The following is a 14,817-nucleotide window of genomic DNA, read 5'->3' on the forward strand; positions in this document are numbered from 1 at the left end:
GGAGGGAAGTTCCCTCCTGGCCAATCAAGTGACTCCTGGATGGAGTCCAGAGGATTAAACTTCCTTTACAGGGCCCAGCCAGTAGCTATCAGTCGACCAGCTTTCCTCAGATCACTCCCTGGGCTTCTGTGTGGACACAACAGAAGAGGCGAGTTCTGTGGAGACTTATGCTAGGTTCGGTTGTGAGTATCCACCAAGAGGGCTGCTGGGAAAACCTATGGATGTTTTCATCTAGTGATGAGGTCTCACTCTACCAAACTGTGAACTTCTCAGCACAGGGCTGAATGCTGCTCATCACCGAGCCCACCCAGTACAGCCCTAGCACAGAACAGGTACTAGCAGAAGGCCAGGAATGACAGAGCAAGAAGGAGTCAACTGTTAACAATTCAGGGCATCTCCCAGCTCCTAGAACCCACGGCCCAAAGCCACTGACCATGGGAGGGGAAACTGTGAACGTGACTTTGCTTCGTACAGACCCAAGGAGATTCTCTGTCCCATATGTCTGTGGTAACAGGATATCCCGCTCGCCACCTCTGGGATGGACCCTGCATTATTCTTGGACTCTGATCTTGGTTCCCAGGAGGGAGAGGTCAGGCTCTGCATGTGGGATCCTTTGTATTGGTCACTGACTCTGCTTCAGGCTCAGCCTTCTGGCTGTGGGCACTGGCTTGACACTGACTCCTGACTCCTGGGTTTTAGGGTGTCAGCTTATTTTTCTGGGCTTTGTCCTTGGTACTATGCAAAGGTTGGATCTGGGAGTTTAGCTGTGGCCCCCAATCTCATCCACTCCTTGTAGCTTCCTTGATCAAGCTCTGGTTACTGGAGTGTGGGCTGCAGGTTACGGGCTCTTCCCCTGTGGGCTCTGTTCTGTTCACTGATGAACAGACCCTCTCTGCCTTCTGAGCTCAGGAGGTGCTTTCAGAATCGTAATCTCAAGGCTTATCATGTGATTCTTTGATTGTGACTTTGGAGTAAGAAGAGATGGACCCTGGGCTCAGGGTTCTTTCTGATGCTAGGGAGATCCTGAGGAGCTAAGTGTGAGAAAAGGTGATGATTTAAGGCCCCAAACAGGTGGAGAGTGAGGGAAGAAAGGAAGGGAAACCACTGGATCAGCATTTGCTTGGCCGATTTGGGAGTCATGTCAGGGCCTGCTTCCTCCAGAGCTGGGTCAAGCTCCAGAAGTGACCTCACCTGCCCCAGGCCAGCATTGCTCCTTCCTGAGATAGGTCATCCTCAGTAGTGACCTCACTTATCTAGCCTCAGTTTTCTCAACCTCACCTGCCCCAGGCCAGCATTGCTCCTTCCTGAGATAGGTCATCCTCAGTAGTGACCTCACTTATCTAGCCTCAGTTTTCTCATCTGCTGCATGAGAAACTGAATAGCACCTACGTGGAAGGAGTTTCTGTCCTGTCGGGATGCCATGACTGGCTCAGCATTTGCAACATTGGCCTGAAGGTAGGAAGGACCCATCCCAGGGTAGAGCATGGCCTAAATTAGGTATACTTTTTGGTCTGTACTTTCTCTTACCAAACGAAGTTTTGTTTTATTTTAATGCTTTTTGTCTTGCTGTTGTTGTAGTTACATATGATCTAACATTGTTTAATATTTATATCATATAAATCATATATATGTATAATAAATCTTATCAAGACTCCTTTTTTTTAGTAAGTCTATAAATCCACATTCCAAAATATGCCAGGGCTTTTGATATTTTTCCCTCAGAGTCTTAAGTGATTTTTGGATATTGCTAATATTGCCTGACTTTCCAGATTGCTTGTATCTCAGAGTTTGAATTTACCAAGTTACAAAAAATTCACATATAAAACAAGCCAGGAGTTTCAGAAGGTGTATATATGTGGAATGGCTGGATGTAACAGGAATATCCTAGAGCTATTCACTGAAATTATAAAAAATAAAAATTTCCCATGCATCTACAATGGCCCTTCATTTTGTAACATCACAGTAACATTCAGGTGCCAAATAAAAAGGGGGAAAGTTAAAAATTCCCCACCCCATAACTCAGTTCAACCAGTTCAACCTAGTTCTGATTACTTTTCTCAAAGTCTCCCTACCAATATTTTTTCTTATTTCATTCTTTTATCTAAACATTAAAAAGTCATGTTGATTTTTCTTTTGCAACATCTCACATATGTTTTTGTAGCTTTATTTGTAGATCCATGAGCTCTTCTCAGGCATTGTTACTTCAGCCCTAGACTTCTGCAGTAGCCCCCTGACACATCTGCTCATCCTCTCTCACTGGTCCTTGTTGCTGTCTATTCTGCTTCCACTGCTGTGTGAATCTGCCCGTTGTAGGCTTTGCACACTGTGTTAGTTCATTCTCACACTGCTATAAAGAACTACCTGAGACTGGGAAATTTTTAAAGAAAAAAGGTTTAATTGACTCACAGTTCCATGTGACTATGGAATTGTAAGTCAATTGAAAGTTTTCTCAGGAAACTTACAGTAATGGCAGAAGGCAAAAGGGAAGGAACATACATCGTACATGGTGGCAGGAAAGACAGCGAGGGAGAGGGGAACTGCCAAACACTTAAACCATGAGATCTGATGAGAACGAACTCACTATCATGGGAACAGCATGGGGGAAATGGCCCCCATGATCCAATCACCTCCCACAAGCTTCCTCCCTTGACATATAGAGATTATAATTCGAGATGAGATTTGGGTGGGGACACAGAGCAAAACTAGATCACACACAGTTATTACTCCTTTAAAAAGTAGTGCAAAATATAAGCATGATTATTCCCAAGCTCTTCCACAATCTAGTCCAAATTAACTGCTCTTCTTTATTGCTTATTTTTTTATTGTGACTCTGAAATAAACTCAATCAGTGTTCATCCTGGCAGGACAGTCCATTCAGATTTCCATGTACTGGGCATTGGATGTCTTTGATTCTCCAGAATCTCTTTCCTTCTGATTCTAGTAAATGAATCCCTCTTTTCTGTGGTAAATTGTTTCTATGTGGTTCAGCTGATTTGCTCCCCCTTTACCACATGAAAAAAGGATATACATTCATGTCCAGCCTGTATATTGCCTATAGATCACCATGATTATCTCAGTGATGGGAATATTTTGTGAGTGGGTATATTTTGTGACCCAGGGAAAGAGATTGTAAGGAAAGTACAGGCTGGAGACTAAGAGGATCATCTTTCTGGCTGCTTAGAAAAAACCTTTTTGAGAATGAAGGCAACAGGTAGAATAAGAGCTGAGAGATAGAAAATGAGATAGAGTCCCAGTCATATTATTCTCTGTGAACAAAAACCACTTTTACTTTTGATACTGTGGAGCTAACAGTCTGGGAAAATTGGTAGGAATATTAGGAAATGTTTGATTCTTATGACAGAGACTCACTAAAATGACAGGGTTTTTTTTTTTTTTGCGGTGGGAGAGGGGGTACTGAGTTTAGCTCTTGTCATTCAGGCTGGAGTGCAATGGCACAATTTCAGCTCACTGCAACCTCTGCCTCCCAGGTTCAAGCGATTCTCCTGCCTCAGCCTCCCGAGAAGCTGGGATTACAGGCTCACACCACCATACCCGGCTAATTTTTGTATTTTTAGTAGATATAGGGTTTCAGCATGTTTGCCAGGCTGGTCTCGAACTCCTGACCTCAGGTGATCTACCTGCCCCGGCCTCCCAGAGTGCTAGGATTACTGGTGTGAGCCACCGGGCCCAGCCGACAGGTCTTTTATAAAACCTAATTCTTTTTTCCTGTTCATGAACCCAACTGCATTTCCTAGCACTCTTTGATATTAGAGATGGCCATGTGACTTTGTTCTAGTCAATGGAGTGTGAGCTGGAGTCTTGCATCATCTACAGACTTGGCTCATTAAATACCTCTTGCATGTGAATCTCCACGTTCATTTTTCCTCCGAAGTCAAAATGCAGATGTTTTATTTTTCTCATATAATTTTGTTGTTTTTAGTATATTGATAAAATTATGCAGTCATCACCACTATCTAATTCCAGCATATTTTTATCACCTCAAAAGAAACCTTGTACCCATTAGCAGTCATTCCCATTCGCCCTCCTCCTCAGCCCTTGGCAATCACTGATCTACTTTCTATCTATTGATTTACCTATCCTTGATATTTCATACAAATATAATAATATAGTATCTGGCTTTTTCTGGCTGACTTCTTTCACATAGCATTATGTTTTCAAGATTCAACCATGTTGTAGAATGAATCAATACTTCATTCCTTCTAATGGCTGAATAATACTCCATTTTAAAGATATACTACATTTGTTTTCCCATTTTCCACTTAATAGATTTTTCGGTTGTTTTCACTATGGGCTATTATGATTAATAGTGCTATGAAAACTTGTGTACAAGTTTTTGTGTGGATGTGTGTTTTCAATACTCTTGAATCTGTACCTTAGAATTGAATTGCTGTATCATATGGTGGTAATTCTATGTTTAATCTTTTTATTTTTTTATTTTCAGAGACAGTCCCACTCTATCGCCAGGGTAGAGTGCAGTGGTGCAATCATGGCCCTCTGCAGCCTCCAACTCCTGGGCTCAAGCTATTGTCCTATCACAGCCTCTCAAGTAGCTTGGACTGCAGGTATGCACCACCATGCCCAGATAATATTTATTTACATTTTTGTAGAGATGAGGACTTCCTATGTTTCCCAGACTGGTCTCAAACTTCTGGCCTCAAGTAATCCTCCTGCCTTGTCCTCCCAAAGTGCTGGGATTACAGGCATGAGCCAGTGCACCTGCCTATGTTTAACATTTTGAGGAACTCTTCAAACTGTTTTCCAAATTGACTATGGCATTGTATATTCCCACTAGCAAGATATGGATTCTAGTTTCTCCATGTCTTCAGCAACACTTGTTAATACAGTTGACACTTGAACAATGTGGGGGTTAGGGGTGCCACCCCCTGTGCAGTTGAAAATTCACATATAACTTTTGACTCCCTTGGAACTTAACTACTAAAAGCCTACTGTTGACCAAAAGCCTTGCCAATAACACAGTCAATTAACACATATTTTTATGTATTATATATTCTTGAAGGGTTTTTTGTGTCTCTATTTCCTTCAGTTCTGCTCTGATTTTAGTTATTTCTTGCCTTCTGCTAGCTTATGAATGTGTTTGCTCTTGCTTTTCTAGTTCTTTTAATTGTGATGTGAGGGTGTCAATTTTGGATCTTTCCTGCTTTCTCTTGTGGGCATTTGGTGCTATAAATTTCCCTCTACACACTGCTTTGAATGTGTCCCAGAGATTCTGGTATGTTGTGTCTTTGTTCTCGTTGGTTTCAAAGAACATGTTTATTTCTGCCTTCATTTCGTTAGTACCCAGTAGTCATTCAGGAGCAGGTTGTTCAGTTTCCATGTAGTTGAGTGGTTTTGAGTGAGTTTCTTAATCCTGAGTTCTAGTTTGATTGCACTGTGGTCTGAGAGACAGTTTGTTATAATTTCTGTTCTTTTACATTTTCTGAGGAGAGCTTTACTTCCAAGTATGTGGTCAATTTTGGAATAGGTGTGGTGTGGTGCTGAAAAAAGTGTATATTCTGTTGATTTTGGGTGAAGAGTTCTATAGATGTCTATTAGGTCCGCTTGGTGCAGAGCTGAGTTCAATTCCTGGGTATCCTTGTTAACTTTCTGTCTCGTTGATCTGTCTAATGTTGACAGTGGGGTGTTAAAGTCTCCCATTATCATTGTGTGGGAGTCTAAGTCTCCTTGTAGGTCACTCAGGACTTGCTTTATGAATCTGGGTGCTCCTGTATTGGATGCATATATATTTAGGATAGTTAGCTCTTCTTGTTGAATTGATCCCTTTACCGTTATGTAACGGCCTTCTTTGTCTCTTTTGATCTTTGTTGGTTTAAAGTCTGTTTTATCAGATACTAGGATTGCAACCATATTCTTACAATAAAGTAAGCTAGAGAAGCGAAAATGTTATCTAAAAAAATCATAAGGAAGAGAAAATATATTTATTACTCATTAAGTGGAAGTAGATCATCATAAAGATCTCCATCCTCATTGTCTTCATGTTGAATGGGCTGAGGAGGGGGAGAAGGAGGAAGGATTAGTCTTACTGTCTCAGGTATGGCAGATGTGGTAGAAAATCTGCAAATAAGTGGACCCACACAGCTCAAGCCTGTGTTGTCTGAGGGTCAACTGTATATATCTTCTTTATTATAGCCATCCCAGTGGACGTGAAGTGGCATCTCAAGGAAAACGTTTAGAATATTTTGTTATTAATGGAAGTGATAAAGATACAACATACCAAATCTTCTAAGGTATAGCTGAAGTAGTGCTTAGAGAGACATTTATAGCTATAAATTACTACATATGTTTTAAAAGAGGAAGATCTCAAACAAATTAAGCATTCACCTTAAGAAACTAAATAAATAAGAAAATATAAAACCAAAGCAAGCGGAAGGAAGGAAATAATAAAGATTAAAGAATAAAAATAGATAATAAAGAATAGAGAATAAAGTAAATGAAACAGAGAATAGAAAAACAATAGAGAAAATCATCAAAATCAAAATTGTTTCTGTGAAAAGATCAACAGAGGTAACAACCCTTTAGCTAGAAAGAAGGAGAAAAGAGAATACTCAAAATATTAAAATCAGGAATAAAGGGACAGTAGTACAGAACTTATAGAAATAAAGGATTTTAAGGGCATAGTATGAACAAGAAGTTTATATCAACAAATTGGCAAACTTAAAATAACACCAATTGTTGAAACAAACTCAGAGAGAAATAGAAATATCTGAATTAACATATAACAAGTAAAGTGATTAATTTAAAAAAACTTTCCACATAAAAAAGATCAGGCACTGAGGTCTTCAATGGTGACTTCTACCAAATATGTAAATAGTTAAGAATTTATCAATTATTCACAAACTCCTCCAAAATATGGAGGAGGAAGAAATGCTTCCCAATTGATTCTATAAGATCAGTATTACCCTAGTACCAAAATAAAAAACATTACAAAAATAAAATTTCAGAACAATATGTCTTATGAATATAGACACAAAAATATAAACAACACAAATCCAGCAACATATAGAAATGGATACACCATGACGAAGTGGGATACATCCCAGGAATGCAAGGCTGGTCCCACATATGAAAATCTATCAATAAAATACAAAGGATTAATACAATAAAGTACAAAAACCGCATACCGAAAATGCATTTGACAAAATCCAACACTCTTTCATGATTAAAAAAATTCTTGGCAAACTAGGAATAGGTAGGTAAGTTTTTTGCATGCTACGTGACAGAAGGTGACTGAGTCCTTGAATTCCTACTTAGAAGACAGCAATTTTAAGAGAAGGAATATTGTCAGTATTCAAGTTTTTTTGAAAAATAAACTTCTATCCATATTTTCCCCAAGTACAATTATTTTGGTGTTTGCTTCCAGAGTTAGCATTACCTTACCAATTAAAATTTTTCTAATCAAAGCTGTGATTTTGCTATCTTTAATGTTTCAAATAAAAAGGAAGGTCAAAACCTGCTTAAGACCTAACTAACAGAAAGGTCCAGGATAAAGATTTTAAAACTAATATAATTCTAATGAGAGGCTTTTCTTAAAAGACTAAGATACCTACCTAAGTGAAAATTAAATCACCTTTCTGCTTCCAGGAATCTTCTTTCGATACTATTTTAGAGTTAATAGCCTCTTCACTCAAGGGAAGTCCTAAAACTTATGTGGAAATCAATCTTCTGACATGGCAAAAAGGAAAAAATCCTTATTTTCTCCTAAGATTAGAGAAAATGCAAAACAAAGAAATCAGCAGTCAGCAAGACTCAATAATCCTTCTGCACCTTAGAAGTTATCCAAGAAAATTTAATTACAATTGTAAGAACTTAATAGATCAAACTATCAGAATAATGTTCTGTCGTCTGCTATCAGATACATATGTTTGTAAATATTTTCAAAATTTAAAATGTGAATTTAATGAGAATCTGAATCTTTCTTTCTGTGGTTATAGAACTTCCTTAGAGGCATTATTTCATTTGAAGGCTTATCCCTTAAAAAGAAATGCATGATGACAGTGAAGGATACTTAGAATGTATTTATTTATTCAACAAATTCTTATCACAAGGCTGTGTTATGATATGTAGTAGGGAGCCAACAGTGAACAGAATAGACAAGGATCCTTTCTAATAGAACAAATATTCTAGTGAAAAATTCAACTTCTAAAACTTTTCAAATATCTACAGTGGAAAATAAACCATGATTCTCACTGAAAGTCTTTTTCAACAAGGCAGTAATCTCAAAATCTATCTTAAAAGGCATTACAGAATCTCTCTTGGTGCTTTAAATTGTTTCACCAAGCAGGTTATTCTATTGTTTAAAGTGTTAGCAAGGAAAGAAGAAATGTAATCAAAATGGATTACGTCTTACTGAGCCTGAATCTATGTGGATTTTTGTATTATTAATAAGTAAAACCCTAGTCTCAGACAAAAGATGAACTGGAAGATGGTTGTGTAATGGGGTGGATGTTCATAGGGACATGCATACCTAGTTTTAGTACTGAGCTTGTTACGAGCAACAGCCACAGTGTTTTACAGAAGAATGGCAAGTACTTATTAAGAAGCTAGTCAGTCAAGTAACAGTCATTTTAAAAATTTTCTACTGTACATTTGAATTTCATTTCATTCTTTGAGCCATGATTGATATATATGGCCCTTGATATGGCACTGTGCTTATGTCACACAATCTGAGTAAGAAACAGAAAAGACCTGTGGAAACTTGCGATCTTGCTGCTTATCATTTTCCTTAATGTTTCAAAATAATACAATAATCACAGTTTGCCAATTCCTTTTACATATATTGTCTTCTGCAAATTCTTTCCTGCCTTCTAGCAGGGAGTATAACATAATTATAAACCACATGGCAAATCCATGGTAGTTTCCAGTCTTTAGCTCCTTCTATTGTACTACCTCGACCAATTTTTTTTTCTGTTCCTCCTTATCAAAATGACTATAGTAAATATATCTTCTGCATATTATTTGTGAGTTTCAAATGAAATGACTTTTGTAATATTTAAGTGCTTGACACATATAAGCTCTTATTATTAACTTTCAGAAAAGCAAATTAAGCAAAAAAAAAAGTGTAGGGTGAAATTATCTTAAAAATTATAATCACAAACTAAATGCCACTTACAATATGTAGGTAGTTTCCAGAAAACAAGTATAAATTAACGATATTAGATTCTGAGAAATACATGTAGACGCTGTGTTTAAAAAGCTTCTAAATTTATATTTCTCATCTAGGAACTAATTCCAACTTTTTAGCTTATTGGCCCATCAAATATCACTTGATAAATATATACTAGATATAATATATCTAGTATATATTAGAACACTTTTCCGTGTCTTTAGATTTGCAGGTAGTATTTTACCCAGTTAAGTAACTTTGCTGAAGCAATATGTATTTCAATTTGCAGCAAATAGATCTTACATGGCTTATCACTTTCTATTGCAAATGAATTATGCAAATACTTTTTTTGTTTTTTAAAAAAATTTTAATAGGTTTTTGGGGAAGAGTGGTGTTTGCTTACATGAGTAAGTTCTTTAGCGGTGATTCCTGAGATTTTGGTGCACCCATCCTCTAAGCAGTGTACACTGTACCCAGTGTGTAGTATTTTATCCCTCACCCCCCTCCCACCATTTTCCCCAAGTCCCCAAAGCCCATTGTATCCTTCTTATGCCTTTGTATCCTCATATCTTAGCTCTCGTTTATAAGTGACAACACACAATGTTTGGTTTTCCATTCCTGAGTTACTTCACTTAGAATAATGATCTCCAGTTCCATCCTGGCTGTTGCAAATGCCATTATTTCATTCCTATTTATGGCTGAGTAGTATTCCATGGTATGTATATATACATATGCCACAGTTTCTTTATCCAGTTGTTCATTACTGGGCACTTGGGCTGGTTCCATATTTTTGCAATTATGAATTGTGTTGCCATAAACATGAGTGTGCAAGGATCTTATTCATATAATGACTTCTTTTCCTTTGGGTAGACACCCAGTTGTGGGGACTGCTGGATCAAATGGTAGTTCTACTTTTAGTTCTTTATGGAATCTCTATAGTTTTGCATTGTGGTTGTACTAGTTTACATTCCTATCAGCAATGTAAAAGTGTTCCCTTTTCACTGCATCCTCACCAACGTCTATTATTTTTTGATATTTTGATTATGGCCATTCTTGCAGGACTAAGATGGTATTGCGTTGTGGTTTTGATTTGCATTTCCCTGATCATTAGTGATGTTGAGCATTTTTTCATATGTTTGTTGATCATTTGTATATCTTCTTTGGAGAATTGCCTATTTATATCCTTAGCCCACTTTTTGATAGGATTGTTTGTATTTTTCTTGCTGATTTGTTTGAGTTTCTTGTAGATTCTGCATAGCAGTCCTTTGTCAGGTGTATAGATTGCAAAGATTTCCTCCCATTCTGTGCATTGTTTGTTTACTCTGCTGAATGTTTCTTTTTCTGTGCAGAGGCTTTTTAGTTTAATTAAATCCCATCTATTTATCTTTGTTTTTGTTGCATTGCTTTTGGGTTCTCAGTCATGAAGTCTTTGCCTAAGCCAATGTTTAGAAGGGTTTTTCCGATGTTATCGTCTAGAATTTTTATGGTTTCACGTCTTAGATTTAAGTCCTTGATCCATCCTGAGTTGATTTTTGTATAAGGTGAGAGATGAGGATCCAGTTTCATTCCCCTACATGTGGCTTGCCAATCATCCCAGTACCATATGTTCAATAGGGTGTCCTTTCCCCGCTTTATGTTTTTGTTTGCTTTGTCAAAGATCAGTTGGCTGTATGAATTTGGCTTTATTTCTGGGTTCTCTATTATTTTCCATTTGTCTCTGTGCCTATTTTTATACTAGTACCATGCTGTTTTGGTGACCATGGCCTTATAGGATAGTTTGAATATACTATACTGTATTATATTATAGTATAGGTAATGTGATGGCTCCAGATTTGTTCTTTTTGCTTAGTCTTGCTTTGGCTATGTGGGCTCTTTTTTTTGGTTCCATATGAATGTTTAGGATTGTTTTTTCTAGTTCTGTGAAGAATGATGATGGTATTTTGATGGGAATTGCATTGGTTTTGTAGATTGCTTTTGGCAGTATGGTCATTTTCACCATATTGATTCTACTCATCCATGAGATGAAATTCTGAAATTCATGATTCTGCACATCCATGTGTGTTTCCATTTGTTTGTGTCATCTATGATTTCTTTCAGCAGTGTTTTGTACTTTTCCTTGTAGAGGCCTTTCACTTCCTTAGTTAGGTATATTCCTAATATTTTATTTAAATTTTTTTGCAGCTAGTGTAAAAAGGGTTGAGTTCTTGATTTGATTCTCAGCTTGTTATATGGTTAGGCTTTGTGTCCCCACTCAAATCTCATCTTGATTTGTAATCCCCATAATCCCCATGTGCTAAGGGAAGTAATTGAATCATGAGGGTAGTTTCCCCAATGCTGTTCTCATGATAGTGAGTGAGTTCTCATGAGATCTGATCATTTTATAAGGGGTATTTTCCCCCTTCGCTGGGCACTTCTTCTTGCCACCTTGTGAAAAAGGTGCCTTGCTTCCACTTTGCCTTCTGCCATGATAGTAAGTTTCCTAAGGCATTCCCAACCATGCTGAACTGTGAGTCAATTAAACCTCTTTCATTTATAAATTGCCCAGTCTCAGGCAGTTTGTTATAGCAGTATGTAAACAGACTAATACACTTTGGTCACTGTTGGTATATAGCAGAGCTACTGATTTGTGTACATTAATATTGTATCCTGAAACTTTGTTGAATGCATTTATGAGTTCTAGGAGCTTTTTGGATGAGTCTTTAGGGTTTTCTAGGTATACGATCATATAATCAGAAAACAGTGAAAGTTTGACCTTCTCTTTGCTGATTTGGATGCCCTTTATTTCTTTCTTTTGTCTGCTTGCTCTGGCTAGGACTTCCAGTACTATGTCAAATAGAAGTGGTGAGAGTGGCCATCCTTGCCTTGTCTCAGTTCTCAGGGGGAATGCTTTCAGCTTTTCCCCATTCCGTATTATGTTTACTGTGTGTTTGTCATAGATTATCACATTATGGTATGTTCCTTCTATGCTGATTTTGCTGAGGGTTTTAGTCATAAAGGGATGCTGGATTTGGTCAAATGTTTTTCTGCATCTATCGAGATGATCATGTGATTTTTGTTTTTAATCCTGTTTATGCGATATATCACATTTATTGACTTGTGAACATTAAACCATCCCTGCGTCCCTGATATGAGGCCCACTTGATCATGGTGGATTATCTTTTAAATATGCTGTTGGATTCGGTTAGCTAGTATTTTGTTAAGGATTTTTGCATCTATATTCATCAGGGATATTGGTTTGTGTTTTATTTTTTGATTATGTCCTTTCCTGGTTTGGTATTAAGGTGATACTGGCTTCATAGAATGGTTTAGGGAGGGTTCCCTGTCTCTATCTTGTTGAATAATGTCAACAGGATTGGTGCCAATTCTTTGAATGTCTGATAGAATTCAGCTGTGAATTTGTCTGGTCCTAGAGGATTTTTGGTTAGCAATTTTTTTTTAATTTCAATCTTGTTCCTTGTTATTGGTCAGTTCAGAGTCTCTATTTCTTCCTGGTTTAATCTAGGAGGGTCGTATATTTCCAGGAATTTATCTATCTCCTCTAGGTTTTCTAGTTTATGTGCATAAAGGTGTTCGTAGCAGCCTTGAAGCATCCTTTGTATTTCTGTGGTATCAGTTGTAATATTTCCTGTTTCATTTCTAGTTGAGCTTATTTCAGTCCTTTTTCTTCTTTTCTTGGTTAATCTCACTAAAGGTCTATCAATTTTGTTTATCTTTTCAAAGAACCAGCTTTTTGTTTCATTTATCTTTTATATTTTTTTGTTTGTTTCAATTTTATTTAGTTCCGCTCTGATCCTTGTTATTTCTTTCCTTCTGCTGGATTTGGGTTTGGTTTATTCTTGTTTCTCTAGTTCCTTGAGGTGTGATTGTCTATTTGTGTTATTTGTGCTCTTTCAGATTTTTGGATGTAGGCATTTAAGGCTGTGAACTTTCTTCTTAACACCACCTTTGCTGTATCCCAGAGGTTTTGATAGGTTGTATCAATATGATAATTCAGTTCAAATAATTTTTACATTTTCATCTTGATTTCATTGTTGACCCAGTGGTTATTCAGGAGCAGGTTATTTAATTTCCATGTATTTGCATAGTTTTCAGGGTTCCTTTTGGAGTTGATTTCCAATTTTATTGCATTATGGTCTGAAAGAGTACTTGATATAACTTCAATTTTCTTAAATTTGTTGAGATTGTTCTGTGGCTTATCATATGGTCTATCTTAGAGAATGCTCCATGTGCTGATGAATAGAATGTATATTCTGTCATTGTTGGGTTTAATGTTCTGTAAATATCTGTTAAGTCTATTTGTTCTAGGGTATAGTTTAAATCCATTGTTTCTTTGTTGACTTTCTGTCTTGATAACCTGTCTAGTGCTGTCAGTATTGTATTGAAATGTCCCCCACTATTATTGTATTGCTGTGTATCTCATTTCTTAGGTCTAATCATAATTGTTTTATAAATTTGGGAGCTCCAGCATTAGGTGCATATATATTTAGGATTGTGATATTTTCCTGTTGAACAAGTTCTTTATCATTATATAATGTCCTTCTTTGTCTTTTTAAACTGCTGCTGCTTTAAAGTTTGTTTGTTCTGATATAAGAATAGCTACTCCTGCTTGCTTTTGGTGTCCATTTGCATGGAATATCTTTTTTCACCCCTTCACCTTCAGTTTATGTGAGTCCTTATGTGTGAAATAAGTCTCTTGAAGACAGCAGATACGTGATTGGTGAATTCTTATCCATTCTGCCATTCTGTATCTTTTAAGTGGAGCATTTACATTCAATGTTGGTATTGAGATGTGAGGTACTATTCTATTCATCATGCTATTTGTTTTTCTGAACACCTTGTTTATTTATTTATTTGTTTGTTTGTTTTGTTGTTTTATAGGTCCTGTGAGATTTATGCTTTAAGGGGATTCTATTTTGGTGTATTTTGAAGATTTGTTTCAGGATTTACAGCTGCTTTTAGCAGTTCTTGTAGTGCTGGCTTGGTAGTGGTGAATTCTCTCAGCATTTGTTTGTCTATAAAAGACTATCTTTCTTTCATTTATGAAGTTTAGTTTTACTGGATACAAAATTCTTGGCTGATAATTGTTTTGTTTAAGGAGGCTGAAGATAGGGCCCTCATCCCATCTAGCTTGTAGGGTTTCTGCTGAGAAATCTACTGTTAATCTAATAGGTTTTCCTTTACAAGTTACCTGGTGCTTTTCCCTCACAGCTCTTAAGATTCTTTCCTTTGTTTTGACTTTAGATAACCTGATGACTGCCTAGGCAATGATGTTTTTGTGATAAATTTCCCAGGTGTTCTTTGAGCTTCTTGTATTTAGATGTCTAGGTCTGTAGCAATGCTGGGGAAGTTTTCCTTGCTTATTCCCTCAAATATGTTTTCCAAACTTGTAGATTTCTCTTCTTCCTCAGGGATACCCATTATTCTTAGGCTTGGTCATTTAATATAATCCCAAACTTCTTGGAGGGTTTGTTCATTATTTTATTCTTTTTTCTTTGTCTTTGTTGGAATGGGTTAATTCAAAAACCTTGTCTTTGAGCCATGAAGTTCTTCCTTCTACTTGTTTGATTCTATTGCTGAGACTTTCTAGTGCAGTTTGTATTTCTCTAAGTGTCGCCTTCATTTCCAGAAGTTGTGGTTTTGTTTTAACTTATGCTATCTATTTCACTAAAGATTTT

At 37.0% G+C, this 14,817-nt stretch overlaps 2 long non-coding RNA genes across 3 annotated transcripts in view; one reads left to right on the forward strand and one right to left on the reverse strand.

Annotated features, from left to right (window-relative positions):
- The window catches only part of LOC105378306 (uncharacterized), a 33,317-nt gene that overhangs the window by 6,578 nt on the left and 11,922 nt on the right, over positions 1-14,817 (forward strand). The window contains exon 2 of the long non-coding RNA XR_945963.2: positions 4,463-4,583. This is a non-coding gene — a long non-coding RNA (uncharacterized LOC105378306). The remainder of the gene's footprint in view (positions 1-4,462; positions 4,584-14,817) is intronic.
- Positions 1-14,817, reverse strand: part of LOC105378307 (uncharacterized) — a 28,825-nt gene that overhangs the window by 3,595 nt on the left and 10,413 nt on the right. The window contains exon 3 of one of the 2 annotated variants that reach the window (XR_945966.3): positions 7,597-7,737. The exons of the other annotated variant lie outside the window; for it this stretch is intronic. This is a non-coding gene — a long non-coding RNA (uncharacterized LOC105378307). Of the gene's footprint in view, positions 1-7,596; positions 7,738-14,817 lie in introns of those variants that run through there. 2 annotated transcript variants of the gene reach the window in all.

This window comes from Homo sapiens, chromosome 10 (genome assembly GCF_000001405.40).
Source record: "Homo sapiens chromosome 10, GRCh38.p14 Primary Assembly".
In the NCBI taxonomy this organism is placed as follows: domain Eukaryota; kingdom Metazoa; phylum Chordata; class Mammalia; order Primates; family Hominidae; genus Homo; species Homo sapiens.